The 26,348-nt window shown below is 37.2% G+C and overlaps 1 long non-coding RNA gene across 1 annotated transcript in view, besides 2 other annotated features; it reads left to right on the top strand.

The window, feature by feature from the left end:
* Window positions 688-857: an enhancer, noted in NCBI's record as "experimental_64126 CRE fragment used in MPRA reporter constructs". NCBI's record gives its function as "activates a minimal promoter by MPRAs in K562 erythroleukemia cells, with activity observed for the introgressed 3:104644576 variant allele {active_cell/tissue: K562}" and the evidence as "EXISTENCE:reporter gene assay evidence [ECO:0000049][PMID:34662402]".
* LOC107986108 (uncharacterized) overlaps window positions 16,522-26,348 on the top strand; it is a 279,502-nt gene continuing 269,675 nt past the window's right edge. The window contains exon 1 of the long non-coding RNA XR_001740833.2: window positions 16,522-16,630. This is a non-coding gene — a long non-coding RNA (uncharacterized LOC107986108). The remainder of the gene's footprint in view (window positions 16,631-26,348) is intronic.
* Window positions 21,647-22,201: an enhancer, noted in NCBI's record as "H3K27ac-H3K4me1 hESC enhancer chr3:104623147-104623701 (GRCh37/hg19 assembly coordinates)". NCBI's record gives its function as "activates a minimal SCP1, AML or CMV promoter by ChIP-STARR-seq in naive H9 embryonic stem cells {active_cell/tissue: H9 hESC(naive)}" and the evidence as "EXISTENCE:reporter gene assay evidence [ECO:0000049][PMID:30033119]".

Here is a 26,348-nt window from a genome sequence, read left to right as displayed (position 1 = left end):
ATATTTTAGATTTCTCACTGTGTGAAGGAAAACAGCCAACTCTCTTGTTCTTTTTTTTATGGCTTCATATGGAAAGGAAGCGTGAAAATTATGTCATCACTTGTTTTTAGGCCTCCTCTAGCCGTATAGTAATAATTTCCCTTGCTCCCGACTGGCTAACAACTGTCGTATGGGACAAAATAACGATAATTGTAGCAGCAGCCACTCCCACCTGTGTTCTCAGAGCTGTTATTCTTTTGGGGATTAAATGCAGACAAGATATTAGAAACAACAGCAATACAGCAATCTAAAATAGACAATGAATCCTTTAAATTAAGGCTTTTCCATTTTAATTTCTCAACTGTGACATGTACTGATCTAAGTACAAAAGCAAACTGTTCCTTCTGAGAAATGAAACTTCTTTTTCTAAAAGTTGCAACCAAAATTTTTTGTGAATATATTTTTGTTTTTTGAGACGGAGTCTCACTCTGTTGCCCAGGCCGGAGTCAGTGGCACAACCTCGGCTCACTGCAACCTCTGACTCCCAGGTTCAAGTGATTCTCCTGCCTCAGCCTCCCGAGTAGCTGGGATTACAGGCCTGCACCACCGCGTCTGGCTAATTTTTATATTTTTAGTAGAGACGGGGTTTCTCCATGTTGGTAAGGCTGGTCTCGAACTCCTGACCTCGTGATCCACCCGCCTCGGCCTCCCAAAGTGCTGGGATTACAGGATTGAGCCACCGCGGCCAGCCTGTGAATATTTTTCAGCAAAACTATTGTAGATGTTTGTTCACCAGTGTCTGTTCCAGAGTGAGTAGTGAAACATCATTGTCCAAATTGACAAGTTGCTGGAAACTATATGACAACTTTTATAAAGAACCTTAGTATTTCTTACTGGTTTATCACGCAGACTACCAATTGTAAAGATGTATACTCTCCAGAAACTCAAATGGAAAAATTGTTTAAAAAGTGCTCCCTTTTCTTTTGCGTAGTAGACTTTTTTCTGCTTCAGTGAACAGGTAACCTGCTGGTTCCCTCTCGTAGATTTTCCTTAGAGTGAATTTAGTTTAAGTAAAGCCATGACCATCTCACCACATCTCCTTTGCCAAATTTCCCAATTATTCTGAAACCTTTTAAAAGTAAAATTAACATTTTGACCCGTTAAAAATACCTAATTGAATTAAAGATGTATATATTAGAGGTGACACCAATGTGGTAGAAAGCAGAATGGGTATTCTTTGACCAAGGGGTCCTATATTTGTGTTGACAGACCACTTGAGGCAGCATGTATGTCAAGAGTGAGGAGGCCGGGTGCAGTGGCTCATGCCTGTAATCCCAGCACTTTGGGAGGCTGAGGCGGGCGGATCACCAGCTACTAGGGAGGCTGAGGCAGGAGAATCGCTTGAACCCGGGAGGCAGAGGTTGCAGTGAGCTGAGATCATGCCATTGCACTCCAGCCTGGGCGACAAGAGCGAAACACCTTCTCAAAAAAAAAAAAAAAAAGAGTGAGGAGTATTCAAGTCTACAGTATAATCCATTTATGAGATAATATATGGATTTATTATCGGATGAATGATTCAATGATTATCTTTCAAAAGTAGTTTTCTTGCACCACTTCTTTCCACCTCTCACCTTTTATCTTATTGTAGTGTTGCCACTGTATGCAAAAGTGATATTTTTCATTCTTTTAGTAATTTCAATTATCATTGTGTTTCTGGGAACCTGTATGACCTTTGAACATTTAAAAAGAAAAACTATGTTGTTAACATAGGCAATGCTGCTTTAGAGAATGGTAGACTTCTGTTTTACCTAAATAAATAAATAACAGAAGTAGCTAAGAAAACAAAGCAAAGCAAAACAGAGAGTTTACTCCATTTATCTTTGATGTCTTCACTTTAGCTGTCCCTTTTAAATTGAATTGAATTGAGTTTTTAAACTAATATTCATAATACAAATAGTCTTACTATGGACCTTTAAATTACTTTTCCCTTGACATCTACATAAATTATTGATTGAGTTCAGTCATTTTTCCAACTTTAATGTGCATGGGACTCACCTAGAGTCATTCTCTTCTTTTCAGAATGCAGATTTTGATTCAGTAGATTTGGAACAGGGCCTGAGAATCTGTATTTCTAACAAGGTTCTAGATGATGCTGACGCTGCTAATCTGGGACATCATTCAGTAGCAAAGATCTGGTTGATATGTCCTCCCTCTGACACATTATAATTATAGAAGGCTAAAAAAAAAAAACTTGCTTGTGGGAAATTAGACCATTGATGAAATAACTCACTTGTGACTAGTAAAGAAAAAAGAGTAGAAAAATGGTCTCAGAAGATTGGATACTATATATATTTGAGTAAGTGTGTGAATTAAAAGGGAAATATAAGGAAAAATAACTTCAAGAGAAAATACAAATTCAATATTAGCAAAATTTCTATCCAACCTCTGTCATGGTAGCCCAGTCTTGAAACTTATTTTAGTTCTTGGAAATGACAAGCATGGATATCTTCACTGTTAGCATTTTGACACTCTTTCTGAGATGCTTAACGATTGCTAGAAGTCTACAATTGAAACTGTAGGGTGTTAAATAGGAGGATTTGGAGCAAAGCATTTTGTTTTGAGCTTAAAGGAGAGATATTTAATGTTTGAACCAAGAAGCTAAATGAGGTTCTTATTCATACGCGGCTACAAATAAACTTATCCCTGGGAAATTATTTTATCTCTTTGGATATCATTGTCTAATCTAAAATATTGAAGTGTTATGTTAAATATTCTCAAAAATCCTTTCCAACTTTAATAGCCTATAATATTATAATTCTGATATATTCATGGAGCCATTTAAAAGGCTACTTTCTGAACAGTCACAGTTTTTTTTTAGGTGTGGAGATTGATGCCAACCTACACTGCCTATGGCAAAATATCTTTAGATTACTCTTTTTCCAATCACGTTTTAAACTCCATTCTCAAAAACAAAAGAAGAAATTATTTTTCTCTTTTTTTCTAATATCACCTAAGAAGTCCCAAATTGCTCCTTCCAGCATTAAATGTATGCTAATACTTTAGGTCAACCTTAATTCAAACTCCTCAAGTTTATCCTGAACTTCTAGAGATAATCATGAAGCAAAGGCCATCTATTTAGAGTTTCTTAGAATAAAACAATTGGGATCATGAACATTTTAGGTTTGAAACAAATGCAGTAAAGATAGTAATAATAATAACCTTACATAAATTAAAAGTACAGATATAATTGAAAATTCTTGAATTCCATTATAAATGAGTAAGGTAAGATGTCTTACAAAATGATGATTCAATTCACACACAGAAAAAATACTTTCTGCTTAATGCTTTAAAAAGATAGATCTCATGTATTTAAAATATAATTGAGTCTTAAAAGGTTGGTTGATACCTGAAGTTTCAGAAACACATCATTTTATAAAGTAAAATACATTTGTATAATGACAAGACTGTCTTCCCAACAGATATAGATAAGTAATGGAAACTTCCAAATTAATGCAAGCTAAAAACCAGGAAATGTATTCAGGAATGGCAACTAGGGATTAAACCAGCTGACATGATACTGTTGCAAAAATTTCATACTAATAACCAGCTCTCAAATAGGTGATCAATGAATTTAATGCTTATTCTGATATTAACTTTGATTTAGAATAAAAATAATACTGAATTCACTGTAATGGGATGATATTAAATAAGGGGGTAATATTAATTAGTAATTTAAACATGAAATAATTATGCAACAGGGCAATCATTTCAGCCCCAGACTTTCTGGCTACTAAAGCACAAATAAGACCAAATAGATTGCAAGCATTCCTCTGATGTCAGGGAGCATATCTATATTTCAATGAGACCAAAATGGAAATTTTCATGATGCTAAAATAATAGACATTTAGCATGTTATTCTCTTTATAGTGGTGTATTTGTCCATTTTCACGCTGCTAATAAAGATGTACCCAAGACTGGGCAATTTAAAAAAGAAAGAGATGTAATTGGACTTACTGCTCCATGTGGCTGGGAAAGCCACACAATCATGGTGGAAGGCAAGGAGGAGCAAGTGCCGTCTTACATGGATGGCAGCAGGCAGAGAATGAGGAAGACGCAAAAGTGGAAACCTCCGATTAAACCATCAGCTCTCATGAGATTTATTCACTACCACGACAGCAGTATGGGGAAACTGCCCCCATGATTCAGTTATCTCCCACAGGGTCCCTACAATAACATGTGGGAAATATGGGAGTACAATTCTAGATGAGACTTGGGTGGGGACACACAGCCAAACCATATCAAATGGTTATTGAGCAACACAGTGGAAAGTCTGTAGAAGTTAGAAACTGTTTTTCCTATAACTCTTTCTTATACCCAATCTTAATAATCCAATAAAAGCAATGGTTATTGACAGTTTAGACAAGTGACTCTCAACTCTGGCTGCACATTAAATCCATAAAAATATTTAAATGTTTTAAAACATTAAAACATCTGAAACAGTAAAGCTTCAGGAGCTTTATTTTTATTTTACTTTTTGTTTTAAAAAGTTAATGCCTAAGCTCCACCCTTTGAGATTCTGATATAACTGGTATGGAATGAAGCATAACATGGGTAATTTTTACAAGCTTTGTAACTTGTAACAGGTTTGAAAAGGTGATTCTAACAGGTTTGAAAAGCACTGCGCTGGAACAATGGTAGTATAGCATGATCTTTAAACTTACTTGTTCAAAAACTATTTGTTTCTAACATCAATTTTAATAAGAGCTAACTAGAACTGAATTTGAGATTGAGCTCTCTGATAAGTGCTAATTTAGCCATATTGTTTTCATGCTTAGAAATGTTTGCAAAATCCATTGTTTTGGTAAAAATTTACCCTTGGCAGAAGCACTCAAAGAACCATATTCGAAGCATTCATTGACAACCTTTCACACAAACTACTATATGCAGTCTTTGCTTTAGGCTCGAGTATAGTAAATCAAAGAACAAAAATCCACAATTATTGTTTTAAAATCTTGAAGGAAGACATATTTAAGAATGTGCTCCTTTTGTTTACCTTACTAAGCCATAGGCCTAAAATTGGTGGAAAGAGCTGGAGACAACACCAAGGAATGAGTAGAAGCTGTGTGTGTATATAAAGGATATGATCATCCTCAATCATTATCAGGTCAATCTAAGCCATCTCTTCCATGGCTTAAGAAGAAGGGGTAAGCTGTAGTGCTGTCTATCTGGAATAGCTATATTTGATTTCTGGAGGTCATCCAAGTCAATGACATGCCTTATAGGGGGTCTCTTGGGTTTGTCTAAGCATGAAAGATCCTCCCAAGCCCTTTAACATTTCTAGTACCTTATTGGGGTATGAGAGAGTGTCTTGAAATTCTCATGCCTCTTGGAATGGAATAGAGACATTGGGGGGGTAGAGATCTGATGGTTTGAAGATCAAGTGATCCACTGGATAAACTAGGGTGCTCAGAATCAGCCCCAGAAAAGAGAGGAAGGGGACTGCTTCAGAAAGTGGCTGCGTTTGAAACCTGAATGAGGTAGCATAAATTATCAGCTTGATAAAGTTTTATATAAGCAACTAAATTAAGCATTCTATATCAGACAGAATATTGACTCAAAATTATGTGAAATAAAAAAGTGAAATTTCAGCATATTTATGTCTGTATCCTATTAAATATGTGCCTTCCACAAGAAAGTAAAGCAAAATGATAAGCAAGAAAGTAAAAGGTATTTATCTTGCCTATTCCTAGATTTGTTTAATATCCCTTGACAATAGTTCAAAAATCAGACCTAATAGAAATGTGCCGAATCATCAGGATATTTCCAAGTTAAAGATTAATTATGCTGGCCTTCTCCAGTTGGACCATCACTGCTACATTAATTCCAGAGGAGGAATGACACTACATTTGTTTCTGTGACACATTTCTCTCTACTTCCTCACAGAAGGCAGTTGGACACTTGTTATATACAGCGTTGTAGTGGAAGACACAGAGGCACTGATATGGTCTGGCTCTGTGTCCCCACCCAAATCTCATCTTAAATTGTAATGCGAATTGTAATCCCCACGTGTTGGGGGAGGCACCACGTGGGTGATTAAATCATGGGGGTGGTTCCCCTGTGCTATTCTCATGATAGTGAATAAGTTGTCACAAGATCTGATGGTTTTTAAGAGGCTTTCCCCCTCACTTGGTTCTCATTCTTCTCTCTCCTGCTGCCTTGTGAAGAAGGACGTGTTTACTTCCCCTTTTGCCCTGCTTGTAAGTTTCCTGAGACTTACCCAGCCATGCAAAACTATAAGTCAATTAAACCTCTTTCCTTTATAAATTACCCAGTCTTGGGTATGTCCTTATAGCATAATGCGAATGGACTAATACAGGCACAGAGCTGCTAAAGGGCCCTCCCCTAAACCTCAAACATGTAATCCTAGGGTCCCTACAACTAATTGAATGATTTGTCCCATGAAGCCATGTTTTCCATTTGGTCGTCCTGTAACTCCTGGTCACTGCATGATGTGTTAGGCTGATACTGGACTTTTTTAGGAGTTGTCCACAGATTTGTGGAAAACCACCACAGTCTTACATTCAAAGAGGGCTATTCCTAGGTAAGGTTTTGGGACCAAAAAACTTAATCTTTAGTAACTACCCACCTCCACCTCAGCATACCAAGGAAGAAATACCATGTTTTGGAATAGCTTTTAAAATTGTTGGGGGAAGATATTGGACTCGTTTTAGGCTTACAAAACTGTGTCTGTCGATCTCCCAGACACATATTGAACTGTCTTCAATATGTTCAAAAGATTTCGTATACTTTTTTTGAAAGAAAAGAAAACAATACTTTGTTAAGAATATTTTAGCTGATACTACTGAATGATAACTATGCAAGTTTTACTGAACCATCATCTTAAATCACTTACCAAAGGGCCCCACTTCCTAATACCACCACAATGCGGATTAAGTTTCAACATGAATTTTGAAGGTTATACATATATTACCTCTGCTCTAAATAATCTGTGGTTCCCCATTGCCTCGGTTTATATTAGGTCCTTCTTGCCCTTTAAACTCCAAACATCCTAAATTACAGCTTAACATGCACTCTCGTACCTCTTGGCTTTGCATGAGGTTTTTAATCACATAAAATTCACAGCTGAAATTTATATACTTGGCAAATTCCTTCACATTATTTAGATTTTAACTCATTTTACCTCTTTTGGGAAGCTGTCTCTAACTCCCATAGGCAAAGCAGTCACTTCTTTTCCTAGGCTACCATTATTGCTCTCATCAAATCAATCATTATATTTACTATGTATTACTATTGTGTTCTTTCTGACTTCTAAGCAACATTCTCAGTTTACATACAAGAAAATTGGCAACAAGGGAGATTATATAATATATCCAAGCCTACTTAGTTTAGGAGCAATAGAGCAAAAATTGGAGCCTAAATGGTCTAACTTTAAAACTCAGGGATTTAACCCACTAGTGATGCCAAAGTATTATCACTCATTATGGAAATTATTGGTTACCAAATGCTATCTGATCTGCTCTGTCAGGGCAGGTAGGCTAAATCTTTTACTGGTTTTGTCAATCAGAAATAATATTTTGGATTGAAGAAGCCTGTCTATTGGACTGAAATCATTTACGTATTTAAGGACTTTTCCAATTTTGTCCTAAATCATGTACATCGAAATGTCTTGGGCTTTTCCTGTTTGAACATTGGATGTCCCCTATGTTGTAACCATATTAACTACCTCAAAACCCCTTTCTCCTTTCTCCCTTAGTCTTTCCCTAACTCAAGAACTATTCTCAGACTTATTTCCATCAATCTTACTCAAACTGAGGTGTCAATTAGTTGTGAAAAGGATTTAATGAACCTAAAGTGTCAGTTAGCTAGAATTTGCACAATAATCTTGAAAATAAAAAACTTTAAGTGTCAGAAGTATGGGTGTCTTGTGGAATGATAGGTTTGGAAAGAACATACTATCCAAAATTTTTCTCAAATAACAAGGATTAGATACATTTCTCCCTAAACAAAATTCCTACTGCTTTATAACCCAAATATCGTTCATTAGTGTATGAGTAGCTCCCATTCTAAAGTTTGCCAGAAAGTTACCTCTACTTCAGAGTCACGAGAAAACAAAAAAGAGAAAACTTACTGCTAGTCCAAGCTACCTAAAAGGGACTCCTAAATGCACTTAACAACTCTCTTCCCTTCACTTTATTTTACTTCATTGATTTAAAATTATCCCCTATGATCTTGTTCTCCATTAAACTCACAGAACTAATGGAAAATAAATCATGCTGTGGATTCTTGTATAACTGTACTGCCTTCTTGCTTTTCTTGTAAAGGTCAACACCATACATAATCTAGTAAACCCAAAATTCTTTGTAAACCCAAAACTTAATGTTCTATTCATCTTTTGAGTAACTGGCAAGGTTTACCTCATTTACCCTTTAAACAGATTTAAGATACTAAAGCAAAGAGAGAAAACATTCTCTCTTTGTGATACTCAGAAATCTAGTACTATGAAAAGGGACACATAACAAGACTTCTCAAACCATGAAACATGGATAAGAATTTGGAACAAAAGTTAAATATCCTGGAGCTATGCAATGTTTCCCTACTCATCATGGTTTGCGAGAATACCATTTAAAGTCAAAGCCAATGATATTATAATAATTTTTAAAAGTTCATTTGGGAAAGTGTAAAACAATATGGGTAAACTTCTCATGAGATGTAAATTAGAAAATCTAGTTTAAGTCATTGTTATTGGGTCCCATGACATGTAAGGGCATGGTTTTAGGCCATATGGAGCTGAGAATATGCAGAAGAGTGGGACAAGATGCAGAGAGAGAGCAAGAACGCAATTACAAAGCAAGCCCTTTCTCCCATGGGCCACTTGAAATGGGTTGAGATTTTCTGTTATCTTTGATTTACCCATTAAGTTGAAGCATTATCCTTTTTCTGGAAGATCAGAGCATGGAGCCAAAGTGGCCATATTTCATGATGTATACATTGATCCAGGATAAGAGATGTAGTGAGAGAAGAGAATGGCCTTTTCCTCTAAGTGGATGGTAAGATTGAGAAATCAGACTGCTACTGAAACACTAGTATTAATGACATTAAGAAACTAAATACTACTACTTTATTATTTGCATCCAACTACTCAGTTTTACCCAAGGACATACCACAATGTAATAGCATTTTACAATTATGCCTTTTCCTCTCTCTAGTATGAGACACATTCACCATCTTTTCTAATTAATCCTCTTATAGCCATCCTTCAGAATTCTGCTTAAAAAATACAGCTGCAATGACGTCTACTAATATCCTTTATAAAGTGTAGGCTTTTTATGGGTTATGGCTCTGTTGTTGGTTTATTTAATCTTGGTATCTGAAGAATGTGGCCTATAAATATTTATCTAATGCATACATCCTAAGAACTTCAAATATTTTTGTTTCACTGAAAATTAGTTTTACTACTTCTAACAAAATGTTCAAGCTACATGTATATAACTTTGACTTAAGTAATCTGAACAAATTCTCTTGAAGTAAATATTCTCATTTAAATGCAACTTAATGTGACAACATTTCCTATTTTTATTTTTTATTTTTTAAGTGTAAGTACATTAGTAAAGGACTTGTTCAATTCAGTCTATCAAACACTTTAAACAATTTTACTAGAGGCAGATCTGCTCTCCTTTGGATAATTTCTGAAACTAAAATGTTATAGAAGTAGGCTTTATTAGCCTTTATTGCATAGGAATGAGGGCATGTTTTTCTTTTTGTTGCCGTTGTCATTAGTCACAGCTAACACAGTTCCTGATCTTTTAAAAGCTACATTTATTTTTATTTTGCAATTAACATGCTGTATTGTTGAAATTTAACCATGACTCTTATGTGTAAAGCAATCTATTCCATTTAATAAAACTCCTGAAATTTATTCTTTTCTGTTGGGTTGTTGTAAAATGCTGTTAATGAAGTCTTTAATGAGAGATTGAGAGAGACTGAAATAAGGGAGGGGGATTGAAGATAACAGGGATATATACACTACTCTTTTTCCTCAGCCTCCATATTCTTTCTTCATGTTATTGACTACATGGTGAGAAACTCAAATCTTAACTTTATTACTTTGATCCTGATAAAGAATCTGTTCACTTGTTTATGAACCTAATGTTTTGAAATGGTTTGATGTCTGCAAAGTACTAGTGAGTTTAGACAAATCAAAATTAGGACACATTACCTTCATTTAGCTAATCTGTAGAGCATTTACTATATGCCTAGTTTGGTAATCTGTTACTGTCAGTCATTAATCCAATATGTTCAGCCTTCTTCAAATATCACCCATCTAAACCCTAAATGAAGAGTTGACCTTTATAATAATGGCAACATCTGCTTCAAAGAACGAGATGTACTTGAAGATTATGGATTTTCTGGTTTGAGGGGTTGTTTTGTTTCTTTGTTCAGTTGATTGATAGCCTGAGCAAGCAAATGCTATGTTTAGTGAAAGCACATAGAGGTTAGAGGTTTCACACTGTGAGATGCTTAGGTAGCTGACGTAACTTTGTCTTTAGGTCTAATTCTAAGAGAATCATTAGGTTCTGCAGGAGTAGGGACCGTATTCTTATCGGGCAACATAATATTTATAGCATTTAGCACAATATGTATAAAGATGAAAAAAGAAGATGAGAAAAGAGATTACTGTAATCTATTTTTTAATTGAACAATTTTCTTAAGCCAGAAAAACTTTTAATTTACTCTTACCTAATTTAATGCCTGAAACAATTTCATAAGTTAGATTTTATTATTTTTATATTATGGATGAACACAATAGGCTTAAAGAAATTGAGCAATTGTCTAATATTACATTGGAAATAAGTGTCAGATAAAGATTTTGAACCCACTTTTACTTGACTGCAAAGGTCAGAGTATTAAATCAGTTTACTACAGTACTTCCTTTAGTGTTTTCCCACTAACTCTGAAAGTTTTTTGGCTAAAGGAAATAAACTTTCCTTTTTTCTCTTTCTTTTCTACTGCCTCTTCTCTTATTTCGTTCAACGTTTATTGACACAGGTAACTTTGTTCATTTATTTTACCAGGTCTACAGGATTCCAATATAGGGCATACCATAATTTACTTTCAGAGTCTCATGTTGAATATTTAGGTTGTTCACATTTTGTTTTTCTAATAGAAATTAATGCTTCAGCGAATAATCTGCACATTTCTTGTATGCTGTGTGAGTTTCACAAGGATATATACATATATGTGATATTTCTGGTCTTATATATGTATACCTGCCAGTTATTTCTACATTATTTCATAATGGAGTTGGAGCAATTTTTACTACAACTAGGGATGCATGAGAATTTGTACCTTCTATTGTTTGTTGGTATTTGAAATTATCACATATTAGTTATCTTGCCAATTTGCTGAGTGCTAAAGAGCATTTTCTGGTTATTTGAATCTACATTTTCTTTAGATTGGGTATGATTTCATCTGTTGACTGGTCATTAGAGTTTCCTCTTCTGTGAATTGTGAATTTGCCCTTGTTTTCTTCCATTTAGTTATTTTAAAAAACTACATTGTATTTTTATATATTCTGGATACCAATTCTTTCCCTGTTATATATTTTTGAAGAATTTTCTTCCAACCTGTGTCTTGAAATTTGTTTTTTAAATTGTGTCTTATTATGGTACAGAATTATACATGTACTGTCGTCAAATTTTCATTTTATTTATTCTGTGATCTGTGCTTTTTTTGTTTATCTTAAGAAATCTATTTTTGCACCGAGCCTTAAAATAATGGCTGTATTTTGTTATAAAATTTTAAACATTTATATTTTTACTTTTGGGCATTTTCTACAAATGGAATTCATGTTTTGTATTTGCAATGAGGTAAAGATCTAATTTCTTTTCTTTTTTTTTTTAAATTTTTTGAGACAGAGTCTTGCTCTGCCGCCAGGCTGGAGTACAGGGGTGCGATCTCAGCTCACTGTAACCTCTACCTTATGGGTTCATGCAGTTCTTCTACCTCAGCCTCCCGAGTAGCTGGGACTACAGGCATGTACCACCACACCCAGCTAATTTTCATATTTTTAGTGGAGACAGGGTTTTACCATGTTGGCCGGGATGGTCTTGATCTCTTGACCTCATGATCCGCCCGCCTTGGCCTTCCAAAGTTCTGGGATTACAGATGTGAGCCACCACGCCCGGCCTTCTTTTCTTAAATATAGATATACATTCTTGTCTCACCCAACTTTCTTAACTAAATGAACACTTCGGCTCTAAATTCATTAAACTTCTTTCAAGTGGGCCCTGTTTCCTTCTTGCCTCTGCTTATTCAGCCTCTCCAAAATCACCTGGGGACCACGGTACTGAGACACACACTTCAAGATAGCGGTTCTTAACCTGGGAAGTGGAGGTTGTAGTGAGCTGAGATGGCACCGCTGCACTCCAGCCTGGGCGACAGAGTGAGACTCCGTCTCAAAAAAAAAAAAAAAAAAAAAAAGGGACGGGTTCTTAGACTCATAATGACATTTCTAAAACTGATTAGTTTCTTATTTTAGCCATGGACAAAGAGCTATAGGCACTGAAGAGAATATAGCAGACCTCCAATCTGAAATACAGTTCATCATATGTAATAAGTAAAGTCACTTCACCTCTTTAAGAATAAGTTTCTTAATTCTTTTTCTTTCAACTTTTATTTTAGATGCAGGGGTTATATATGTGCAGATTTATTACCTCGGTATATTGCATTATGCAATATACCCAGAGGGGTGTAACTGATCCTGTCACACAGGTACTGATCATAATACCCAACAGTTAGTTTTTTCAACTCTTGTGCCCATCCCTCTCTCCCCCATGTAGTCCCCAGTGTTTATTGTTGCCGTCTTTATGTTCATGCATAGCCAGTGTTTAGCTCCCAATTATAGGTAAGAACATGGAATATTTGATTTTCCTGTGTTAATTCACTTAAGATAATGACCTCTAGCTGCATCCACGTTGCTGCAAAATACATGATTTTATTCTTTTTTATGGCCACATAACCAGCCATAACAACATAAAATATTCCATAGTATATGCGGTTCTTTAATCCACTGTTGATGAGCATCTAGGTTGATACTATGTCTTTGCTATTGTAAGCAGTGCTGCAATGAACATGTGAGTGTATGAGTCTTTTTGGTAGAATAATTTGTTTTCATTTGAGTATATGCCCAGTAATGGGATTGATTGGTCAAATGGTAGTTCTGTTTTAAATTCTTTGAGAACTCTCCAAACTGCTTTCCACAGAGGCTGAACTAATTTACATTCTCATCAACAGTGTATAAGCATTCCCTTTTCTCCACAGTCTTACCAATACCTGTTGTTTTTTGACTTTCTAATTATAGCCATTCTGACTGGTGTGAGATCTTATCTCATTGTGGTTTTTATTTGCATTTCTCTGATGATTAGTGATGTTGCACATTTTTTCATGTTTGTTGGCTACTTGTATGTCTTCTTTGAGAAGTGTCTGCTCATGTCTTTAGCCCATTTTTCATAGGGATTATTATATATATATATATATATTTTGCTAGTCAAGTTGTTTAATTTCCTTACAGATTCTGGATATTAGACTTTTTTTGGATGCATAGTTCTTGAATATTTTCACCCATTCTGTTGGTTGTCTGTTTACTCTGTGTCTTTTGCTATGCAGAAAGTGTGTTTTGCTGTGCAGAAGCTCTTTAGTTTAATTAGGTGAAGCCAGCATCACCCTGATACCAAAATTTGCCAAGGGCACATCAAATAAAAACAAAGCAGCAGGCCAATATCCCTGATCAACATAGACACAAAAGTTCCCAACAAAATACCAGCAAACTGAATTCAACAGCACATCAAAAAGTTAATTCACCATGATCAAGTAGGACTCATTCCTGGGATGCAAATTTGTTTCAACATGCACAAATCAATAAACGTGATTCACCACATAAACAGAAAGTTTTCAAAAAATTATATGGTCATCTCAACATACATGAAGAAACTTTTGATAAAAATCCAACATTGTAGCTCACGCTTGTAATCCCAGCACTTTGGGAGGCTGAGGCACGTGGATCAGGAGGTCAGGAGATCGAGATCATCCTGGCTAACATGGTGCAACCCCTTCTCTACTAAAAATACAAAAAAGTGGTCGGGCGTGGTGGCGGGTGCCTGTAGTCCTGAGGTGCCTGGAGGCTGAGGCAGGAGAATGGTGTGAATCTGGGAGGCAGAGCTTGTAGTGAGCTGAGATCACGCCACTGTACTCCAGCCTGGGAGACAGAGCAAGACTTCATCTAAAAAAAAAAAAAAAGAAAAAAAATTCCAACATCCCTTCATGATAAAACCCTCAATAAACTAGGCATTGAAGGAACATACTCCAAAACAATAAGAGCCATCTATGACAAACCCACAGTCAACATCATACTGAATAAGAAAAAACTGGAAGCATTGCCCTTGAGAACCAGAACACAAAAATGATGCCCACTCTCAACACTCCTATTTAACATGGTACTGGAAGTCCTAGTCACAGTAATCAGGCAAGAGAAAGAAATAGAAGGCATCCAAATAGGAAAAGAAGTCAAAGTATCTCTCTTTGCAGAAGATATGATTCTATACCTAGAAAACCCTAAACACTCTGCCAAAAGGCTCCAGGAACTGATAAACGACTTCAGTAATGTTTCAGGATATAAAATCAATGTACAAACATCAGTATTTCTATTAACCAATAACAACATTCAAGCTGAGGGCCAAATAAAGAACACAATCCCATTTATAATGCCCACACCAAAAGAAAAAAGTCTTAATTCTTAGATGTGACAACTGAATTGGTTGAGCTTTACTTTCAATTTTCTCTTATGAAAGCTTGGTTTATCCAGTTCAAGTATCTAAAGAGAGTGAGGATCTTTGCTCTATAGTGTCATCATTTAGTGGAAACTTTCAAAACCACACACACACATGACTTCAGAAACCTTGTAAAGGAGAGTTGGTGAGATACCCAAAATCTCTTTTCCTCATATCCTCGTTAGTTCTTTTAGGGCATTTCTCCCTTTGCAGCTGTAGTGGTTCTTAGCTGTGGCAGGAGCAAAATCCCCTGGAGTGCTTTAAAAAGTTTCTATTATCTGGGCTCCACCCCCATAAGTAAAACAAACTACAGAATGAGGGGGAGATGGTGATGTAAAGTTTGGACATTTTTTAAAAAGTTAGCCAGATAATTCTGATGCACAGAGAAAATCGAAAAGCATTGAATTATAAGGTACTGATGTGTCTTTTAAATGTACTCCATGTGGGCTTCTTGAAAACACTAGAAAACATAAAAATGCTGAGCTAATTTGCAGCATCAGTCTTTTTTCCTCAGAGTTATTCACAGTTTTGGAATCCTCACATTTAAGACAACTTTTTTTTCCTCTCCATTTACACCAAATAATATAAATTCTAAATTTCTGATCTCCCTTGCCTCCTCTTCTTATTTTGTTCAACTCACTTATTTTCTTTTTTTTTTAAAAAAAAGTCCTCATGGCTTATTTTCTTTAGCTACTACAGATATGTTTGAATGTCTACATATCAATTATATACACACCTCTGGGTCACACTTTTAAAACATTTGTTTTTTTTTTTTTGAGACAGGTTCTTGTTGTGTCACCCAGGCTGGAGTGCAATGGCTCAATCATAGCTCACTTCAGCATTGACCTCCCGGACTCAGGTGATCTTCCCATCTCAGCCTCCCAAGTAGCTGGGACAACAGGTGCCCGCCACCATGCCTGGCTAATTTTTGTAATTTTTTTGTAGAGATGGGGTTTTGCCATGTTGCCTAGGCTGTTCTTAAACTTCTGGGCTCAAGCAATCCTCCCACTTCAGCCTCCCAAAGTATTGGGATTAGAGGCATAAGCCAACACACTCGGCCTGAAATACCATTTTAAAAATCACTAAACTTCCACACTCACACTCTTTTTGTAAAATACTATGTAGAGGCCAGGCACAGTGGCTCACGCCTGTAATCCCAGCACTTTGGGAGGTTGAGGCAGGCGGATCACGAGGTCAGGAGATCGAGACCATCCTGGCTAACGTGGTGAAACCCTGTCTCTACTAAAAATACAAAAAAATTAGCTGGGTGTGGTGGCGGGTGCCTGTAGTCCCAGCTAATCGGGAGGCTGAGGCAGGAGAATGTCGTGAACCCTGGAGGCGGAGCTTGCAGTGAGCCGAGATTGCGCCACTGCACTCCAGCCTGGGAGACAGTGCAAGACTCCATCTCAAAAAAAAAAAAAATGCTTTGTAGAACTCAGAGAGTATTATCCTATTAAAACATGACAAGTGATTTTCAGTTTATTTCATTGGACAAATACTAAGAGAAGATAGTATTTTCAAAACCCTAATCTGGCGTGCCTATTAGAGAAGAAAGATTGGAAAAAATAACATTTGTTTTTCCTCTTCATCAGTTTTCAACCTTGGCCTTTAAATTATGATTTAAGAGTCCCTCCTCTCGAGAGATGAGTAGTTTCCTCTGTGGAGTAATCAAGCATCAGAGGAGCCTGAGCGTAATGTTAATGTTCTGAGTGCTTCTGAAGTGACAGGAAGTGGTGCATATGCCCAGGGACAAAGCCAAGTTGAGGAGCAGAACCACAGTAGCTTGAGGAAGGAATAGGTGAGAGGTAAGTTTTCCCCATAACTGATGTTTTTAATATTACTGGCTCACGTCAGAGGGATGCCTCAGCATTTGTTGCAGTAGCACATGGTCGGCTATATTTGCTCATCTGGCTGTCTCTTGTGAGTGAAATGAAACATAAAATGATATTATGATTCTTGATCTTTAATGTAATTCTTGACTCATCAATGGCTCTTTATTATTGCCTTTTGTTTAAAAGTACCCCAAAGCAATGCAGAAGGGAAAACCTGATTGGAAAAGAAAGCAGAGTTTATAGGGTCATATGAGGCACCTTCTCTGTGGATTTGACTAGTCTCCTCACCATTGCTCCTTCACCAAAAACTTGGCAGGTGGTTAGAAGCTCCTCATGTTGTGTTCTGCCTCATAGCAGGCTGTCTATTTGGCTCTTCCTTCTGCTCAGTCAGACATATCAGCAGAGACAATGGCATAACAGATGCTGATATTCAGCCTGGATCAGCCTATGTTGATTTTATGCTTATTAGTCTGAGCTAGTCACAGCCAGCTGGTTGCTGTTTGCCTTGACTGAGCAGTAGAAATATGCACAACTGCAACGGCCTCTTGTGTATATACACCCAGGTGCTGGCTGCCATAACAATCCCTCCCATAACATGAAGGGTATTTTGGATTTATGTATATTTTTGCCTTTTTCAAAATAAAATTTCTTTTAGTATTGGGACAGGCACACTGATGGAAAAGTCAGGACCCAGTTTATAAAAAAGATTTATAAAAAAAGAGTCCCAGTATTTGCTTCTGTGGTACTGGAGAAAGAATCTAAAGTTTAGTTTGGTTTGCTTATTCATTTCCTCCTAATAGCAGTGAGAAGCCAGTACGGATTTTTAAAGACCCATAAGCAAGCTGCCTTTTAGGCATAGCAGATAAAATGTTTCCTGGGCAGCCAGGTGTCATGCTGTTTAGTGCTTCAGTATTCACAACTTACTCTTTTACTGGTCCCAGGAGTGAAGTGTTTTGAACTGGCCAGTAAGCACTGGGGGCTTGCTGTGACCTGCCCCACTTTGCAGCTAGGAAGCTGCCTGAAGGTTTCGGGCATTTTCCTGTGTAATATTGAAGAGAAATGTAGAGTCCTTTTCAGGGTTGCAATTTAGTTCTTTGGTCTAATTCATATTTTTGTGATGATTTATAAAATGTTTTCAATTTTTTTAAAGTTTTTAAATAGTCTAAATAGTCTATATTCTTTTTCTACTGCCTTCATCTTCAATGAACATTTTTTTTTTCTATATACTCCCTCCTTGGAACTACTTACATATCTTTTCTATCCATTTATTTTTTATTTTTATTATTTTTGTTTTTATTTATTTATTTGTTTGTTTGTTTATTTTGAGACGGAGTCTCACTCTGTCCTCAGGCTGGAGTGCAGTGGCGTGATCTTGGCTCACTGCAACCTCTGACTCCCTGGTTCAAGCGATTCTCCTGCCTCTGCCTCCCAAGTAGCTGGGATTACAGGCACGTGCCACCACGCCCAGCTAATTTTTGTATTTTTAGTAGAGACGGAGTTTCACCATGTTGGCCAGGATGGTCTCGATCTCCTGACCTGATGAAATGCTGGCCTCGGCCTCCCAAAGTGTTGGGATGACAGGAGTGAGCCACTGCGCCTGGCCTCTTCTACTCATTTATATTGAATAAATAATGTTATTTTTCTAAGGCAAGTATATTTAATATTCTCTTCATATTCATATTCTCATGAAATCACATTTAAAAGAAATCTGTAGTGGCTGAGCATAGGACTGTTTTCTGGCCTGCTCCTTAATTGCCATTAGATATAACCTAGGTATGGGGAACAATATTTGCTCTCCGTTCTGGTTTAGGAAAAATATTAGAGATTATTAAAGTATGAAAATATCTTTGTTCTACATTTTAGCGAGTGCTTTGGATAAAAATGTAGTGTTTATGCTTATCAAATTTGTGAATGTCCTATAAATATAAGGAATAACAAATATATTTGGTGTCAGAATCAAAATGTGAGATAAGATCAACAGACTAGAATAATGGACTAAAATTAGTAATTCCTAACTTGGTAAATGTAAAGTGAAATTCTTCATTTGGATTCAGAAAGATCAATTGCTTAATCTCAGTATAGGAATGATCTCAATTAAGAAGAATTCAGATTAAAAATAATACATACATGGTAAGCGAGTCACCACTTCCCTTTCCTTTGCCCATGCTAGAGATTTCTAACAGTCATAGTGTGTCCGAAACTGGTGTGTTTTTTTTGAGATAGAGTCTGGCTCTGTCACCCAAGCTGGAGTGCAGTGGCGCGATCTTGGCTAACTGCAAGCTCCGCCTCCTGGGTTCCTGCCATTCTCCTGCCTCAGCCTCCCGAGTACCTGGGACTACAGGCGTCCGCCATCACACCCAGCTAATTTTTGTATTTTTTAGTAGTGATCCACCTGCCTCGGCCTCCCAAAGTGCTGGGATTACAGGCGTGAGCCACCGCGTCCAGCCAATTGGTGGGTTCCTGGTCTCACTGACTTCAAGAATGAAGCCACGGACCCTCGCAGTGAGTGTTACAGTTCTTAAAGATGGTGTGTTCAGAATTTGTTCCTTCTGATGTTCGGACGTGTATGGAGTTTCTTCATTCTGGTGGGTTCGTGGTCTCTCTGGCTTCAGGAATGAAGCTGTAGAACTCTGCGGTGAGTGTTACGGCTTTTAAGGTGGTGCGTCTAGAATTGTTCGTTCCTCCCATTCATAACTGTTGATTCCTCTCAGTGGGTTCATGGTCTCGCTAGCTTCTGGAGTGAAGCTGCAGACCTTTGTGGTAAGTGTTACAGCTTATAAAAGCAGTACGGACTTAAAGAGTGAGCAAGAGCAAGATTTATTGCAAAGAGCAAAAGAACAAAGCTTCCACGGTGCAGAAGGGGACCTGAGTGGGTTGCAGCTGCTGGCTGGGGCAGCCTGCTTTTATTCCCTTAGCTGTCCCCTCCACCCCCACATCCTGCTGATTGGTCCATTTTACAGAGAGCTGATTGGTCCATTTTACAGAGAGCTGATTGGTCCGTTTTACAGAGAGCTGATTGGTCCGTTTTGACAAGGTGCTGATTGGTACATTTACAATCCCTGAGCTAGACACAGAGTGCTGATTGGTGCATTTACAATCCTCTAGCTAGACATAAAAGTTCTTCAAGTCCTCACCAGGTTAACTAGACACAGAGTGCTGATTGGTGCATTTACAAACCTTGAGCTAGACACAGGGTGCTGAGTGGTGTGTTTACAAACCTTGAGCTAGACACAGAGTGCTGACTGGTGCATATACAATTCTCTGGCTACACATAAAAGTTCTCCAGGTCCCCACCCGACTCAGGAGCCCACTAGGCTTCACCTAGTGGATCCAATGCCAGGGTTACGGGTGGAGCTGCCTGCCAGTCCTGTGCCGCACCTGCACTACTCAGCCCTTGGGTGGGCTTGATCCACATGGGAGCCCACCGCGGGGGGCTTGGGCATGGCAGGCTGCAGGTCCTGAGCCCTGCCCCACAGGGAGGCAGCTGAGACCAGGAGAGAATTCAAGTGTGGTGTGGGCGGGCTGGCAGTGCTGGGGGACCCAGCGCAGCCTCCACAGTTGCTGACCCAGGTGCTAAGCCCCTCACTGCCTGGGGCTGGAGGTGCCGGCTGGCTGCTCCGAATGTGGGGCCTGCTGAGCCCATGTCCACCTGGAACTCGTGATGGTCCTAGAGCACGCATACAGCCCTGGTTTCCGCCCACGCCTCTCCCTCCACACCTCCCTGCAAGCTGAGGGAGCCAGCGGAGGAGGTGCCGAGAGCGAGTGAGGGCTGCCAGCACGCTGTCACCTCTCAATAGTGCTCTTTCCTGTGGCAACTGTGTATAATTTTAGAGCCTCTCAACAAGAAGACTAGCACTTGATTAAATTTGGCACTGAGGTAAAGATACTGACCTGCAGATTTTGGACTTGAGGACCTGGTCCTGGCTCCACCAAGACTAGGAAAATGAGCTCAATAACTGTACTAAAATAATTTCCCCTCTTTAGTCCTGTTGTTATTTCTTCATTGGTAAAAATGGGATTTGAATAATTTTCTGTCTAAAGTCTTTTCTAATTCTGATATTCTATTTTCTGATTTTATGAGTAAATAAAAATTTTAAAAATATGATGTGTATTTAAACAACCAATGCAATCTTAAGCAGATGTAGATCAAGGTAGACAGGGTTTCTAATATAAAATGCTGATAAATGGGTATATGTTTCCATATTGTTTCCTAATGTTATGTTTAAAGAATATTGGTGAGTTTGACTTAAACAGAGGAAGGCAGAGAGAATGCTAAAGAATTTCAAAAAATAATAAAGAACTAGATTTGTTTCACCCTACACACACAAAAGAGAGTGGACATGAGTACTGCTTTCTACTTATGCATGATAAGGTTAAAAAATAAAAAAACACTAGATTTCTTCCTTTGAAAATATAAATGGGACCAAAGTACCAGTCAGGCAGGTTTGACACAATATATAGAATAGTTTCCCATATGAAAAAGTATTCAACAAATTACTGGGTTACCTTGTGAATTTACAAGGTACATTTTTAATAATGGCTAAAAATTTTGGAGAATTAACCATAAGTCAGACATGGTTTTAAGTGCTTTACTCATTTAATGTCTTATTGAGCAGTGAGGTAGGTACTATTATAAGCTCCATTTTATAAATAAGGAAATGATGAGGAAAATACATTAAATAAGTTATTTGTCTAATATTTCAAAAGTAAAGTAATAAGTTATCTAAGGTTGAACAAGTTAGCAAAGGTAGGAATCACCACAAAGCCATAGCCTACATTGCTAACCATTATTTTATACTGTCCATAATAAAAGTGAGTATCAGTTGATGTTCATCTAAATATATTGAAGAAGAAAGTAGAAAATTGAAATGCAAAAAAAAAAAATTGAAATGCATAATGTCTAAGTTCTCTTCCTGCTCTGTGATTAATACAGAATCAAAATTGTCCATATTTTACCATTTTGAGTTCATGTTAATATAGAGATGTGAAAGACTATTTAAAATGATAATTTTCTGGAGAGTGACATCAGCAGTGATGTGACAGGATAGTCCATTGTTTATTCCCTCAAAGAAACATCAATTTTAACAACTATCCAAATGTGAAATACCTTCTTAAGAATGAAGGAATCCAGATGAGAGATTACAGCACTGGGTTAGAGCACAGAAACATGAAGACATGCATTAAAGAGGGTAAGAAGAACAATTGTACATTACCCATGTCATTCTGCTCCTAAGCCAGGGCAGAAAGCATGGAGAGATATGCCCTTATTGTGGAAGAAGGTGAATAAAGTAAGCACCTGACTTCACTGCAGTCCCCAACATCAGGGCAGCCCCAGTAAACTGGGTAAAACCCAGTAAGCCCCTAGGCCCAGACTACCCCCTAGGCCCCAGGGCCTAGGATAATCCCCACAGACTGAGGCTCCAGGCCAGCCCCCAGCACCAAGCCAGCACCCTCAGCCCAGGCACCAGGCTGGCCCCTATAGCTTCAGGCTCCAGACCAGCCCCCATGGCTTCAAGCTTTAGCAGACACAAAGTCAGGCCTGCTCTAGCTGAATTAGGGTTCAGGTATTCCCTAGGAGACCCCAGCACCAGGCTGACTCCCATGGACCCAATGTCCAGTACTGACCCAAAAGTCCCAGGCACAAGGCCACCCTACAGGCCCAAGCTCCAGACCAGCCCTTGCAAACACACAACCAAGCCCATCTTCATAGACCTAACTACCAGGTCTGAATGAACAGTAAGCCAGCTCCCTTGGACTCAGGCTCAGAAGCCACCCCAGCACTGGTGGGACCCTGTGTACCCAGGCTTCAGGCTGGCCTCCACAAATGCAGGCTGCAAGTACCCTCCTGGTGAACATAGCCTCCAGACCTGCCCCCAGGGACACATTTTGCAGGCTCTCCCCAGTGGAAACCAGCATCCGGCTATCCCCTGTGTATCTAAAATCTGGGCCCACCACTACAGACTCAATCACTAGGCCTGGCCACATAAACCCATGCTGCAGGTCCACTTCAGTAAACTCAGGCATCAGGCCTGTCAACCTGCTAACACAGGGACTATGCTGGTTCACCTGAGGACTCCAACACTAAACCTAACTGTGACCTCTGAAACATGGGCTCACCCAGAATATCTGAATTAGCTGAATGGTAAAGGGCTTTCTCTACTGAAGCCAGTTAGTAATAAAACTGAATGAGTTGCCTGCTTCTTAAAATGTGCAGACATCAATGCAAGGCCACAGGACAATGAATAACCAGGGGAAAATGTCACCACCAAACAAACAAAATAAAGCACTAATAAATGACCCTAAAGAAAGATATCTATGAATAACCTGATGAAAAATTGAAAATAATTATTTTAAAGTAACTCAGTGAGCTACAAGAGAACACATCGACAAATACACAAAATCAGAAAAAACACACAAACAAAATTAAAATTTCAACAAAGAGATAAAAATCATAAAAAAGGATCAAACAAAAATTCTGGAGCTAAATAACACAGTGACAGAACTGAAAAACGTCATAGACAGCTTCAACAGCAGACTTGACCAAGCTGAAGAAAGAATCAGCAAGCTCAAAGGTCATTTAAATTAGTCATGCAGAGTAACAACAACAACAAAAAAAGTGAAGAAACCCAACACAACTATAGGACAGCATCAAGTGGATGAATGAACATATTAGAGGAGTCCCAAAAGGAGCAGAGAAAGATAAAGGGGTAGAAAGGTTATTTAAATAATTAAAAACAAAAACTTCTCAAATCTGGGGAGGAAAACGCACATCCAGATCCATGAAGACACTAGCCCCAAATAGATTAAATATAAAGAAATCTTCACCAAACCACAATATAATCAAATTCTCAAAAGTAAAAGAGAATTTTTAAAGCAGAAGGATAAGAGCTACTCATCATATATAAAAGAATGTTCATGAGACTATAGGGAGACTTCTCAACAGAAACCTTGCAGGCAGGCCAGCAGGGAACTGGATAATGTATTCAAATTACCTAAAAAACAAACAAACAAACAAATCCTTGCCAAACTAGAATACCATACGTGGTAAAGCTTTCTTTTAGAAATTAAAAAGAGATAAAGACTTTCCTAGAAAAACAAAAGCTGTGGTAGTTTATAAACATTGGTCCTGCTTTAAAAAACATGCTAAAAGAAAGCTTTTCAAGTTGAAATGAAAGGATGTTAACTAAAAATATAAAAACATACGAAAGTATAAAGTGACTGTAAAGATAAAAACTATGGTAAGGTTCAGAATACTCGTATTGTAATGGTGGTGCTTAAATCACTTTTAATTCTAGTATAAAAGTTGAAAGACAAAAGTATTAAAAGTAATTCTAGCTATAATAAATTTCTAATAGATTCATGATGTATAAATATGTAAATTGTGACATCAGTAACATAAAATGTGGGGAGAGTTGAAGTACTTTGACATTGTGTTTGACTTTTTACATAGTAATTGACATGTGTCAAAGAAATGATGAATTGAGGTCTGTAAAGTGTCGGTTGGAATCAATACAGTGAGGAGATTATGTATGTGGTTGAAGTTAAGTTGTTATAAGTTTAAAATGGACTGAGAACTATAAAATGTTTTATGTATGCCTCATGGTAACCACAAAGAAAAGACCTATAGTAGATTCACAAAACATAAAGAGAAATAAATTGAAGCATTCTGCTACAAAAAAATCATAATATTTTAAAGGAAGAGGGCAAGAAAGGAAAAAGTGAACAGAGACTTCAAAATATTAAGAACACAATTAGCAAAACGGCAGTAGTAATTCCTTACCTATCAATAATTACCTTGAATGTAAAGGGAATAATTTTTCAATCAAAAGGCATAGAGTGAATAACTGAATTTAAAAAAAACAAGACTCAACTATATGCTGCCTACAAGTGACTCATTTTAACCTGAAGAACACATATAGGCTAAAAGTAAAGTGATAGAAAAAGACATGTCATTCAAACAGTAACCCAAAGAGAACAGAAGTAGCCATTTTTATATCAGAAAAAAAGATTTTAAGTCAAAAGCAGTCACAAGAGACTAAGATGATCACTCTATAATGATAAAGGGATCAATTCATCAAGAGGTTATATAACAATTTTAAATATATATGCACCCATCATTGGAACACCTAAATACATAAAGAAATATTAACAGAACTGAAGGAGACGTAGACAGCAATGCAGTTATATAAAGGCCCTAACTCACTTTCAACAATGGAAAGGTCATCCAGAAAGGAAATCAAAAATAAAAACAGCAGATTTAAATCGTACTGTAGAACAAATGAACCTAACAGTTTTACAGAAAACATTCCATAGCAGAATACATCCTGTTTTCAAGGAAACATGGAATATTCTCCAGGATAGGTCATATGTTAAGCCAAAAACCAAATCTTAACAAATTTAAGAGGATTTAAATCATTTCAAGTATATTTTTTGATGACAACGTTAGGAAACTAGAAATCAATAAGAGGAGGAAAATTTGAAAGCACCAATAAATAACTCCTAAAACTCATGGGAAATCAAACCTATGAAGATATGAAGAATCTACAGAAAATTAAAGGCCTGGACCTGATGTTTTTCTTTGTGAAAAGTATAGCTCATTACTCCCCCTGGATTCGTAGCCCTTCCTAATTAAATTCCTCTGAAATGTCTGGGATATTCATGATTAGGCAATTCAAGGCTTAGAACAGTCACCCAGAGAGCCTCTGGCTTTTGTAGAACCTCTGTCCAAGGAAAACAAAATAATATTTACTGATTCTTTACATTTTTAAATAAAACAGATTTATTGAAAGTCTATGTCATCAAAATGTATTTTATTGTCTTTTACAATTTTTTCTTTCATATAAAATTAAATTAATAACTCAGTGATGTTAACCGAGATAATTATAGCCACAGTCCAATAAGTAAGTTAGAGAATGATAGAAATATAGATTCTGTAATCAGATTCAGTCCGTCACTACTGGTGCTGTACTTATTTTCCCCGATGTTTTTATCCCTCCCATATCAGCAATACGCCTCCATGACCTCTGTGGATGAACTAGGGCCCAGAGCAACATTCATCAAGTTGCTTCATCTCTTGTTACTAATAGATACTACAGTAGTTCTCTAGCATCTTTCCTAAACAAGTAAAACCCGTGTTATGTTATTATTATTTTTAAATATTCCCCTTGCTTTGCAATTGCCTCTTATTCTTTGTTCCTTAATTTTCTATTTCTCATAGGCATGCTATCACCTCCTTATTTTAATATATATATATTTTTCACTTGTCCATCCAAATGTCTTTGGCTCAGACATTAAAATGTATTATTTATTATTTTTATGATGTGCATCTTACCAGCATTTCCACTCCTAACAATTGATCAATGAAGGGGGAAGTATATGTGATTTCTTTGTTGTCAAAATAACATTAAGCTTGTTGATATATGCGTTTTGGTGATAAAATAGGTCTGCGAGATTGCTGAGAAAAATGAGTGGTGAAAGTAATATAAAAGAATATTGTCTAAGTGGAAGTAGCATTATCACTTCTATTGTTTTTAAATAAAGAAATACATTCATTACCAGAAAAAATAGCTAAAATAATTGAGTTTTCCCTGGGAGATTCATACTTTGAATAGAAAAATTAATTAAATACTAATATCCTTGAAGTCAAGAATTATCTTATTTGTAGTTAAGCCTCCTTCACCCTCTGCCATGC

This window comes from Homo sapiens, chromosome 3, assembly GCF_000001405.40.
Source record: "Homo sapiens chromosome 3, GRCh38.p14 Primary Assembly".
In the NCBI taxonomy this organism is placed as follows: Eukaryota; Metazoa; Chordata; class Mammalia; order Primates; family Hominidae; genus Homo; species Homo sapiens.
Note: the sequence above shows the minus strand (reverse complement) of the source record. Positions and strands in the feature narration are given on the sequence as shown.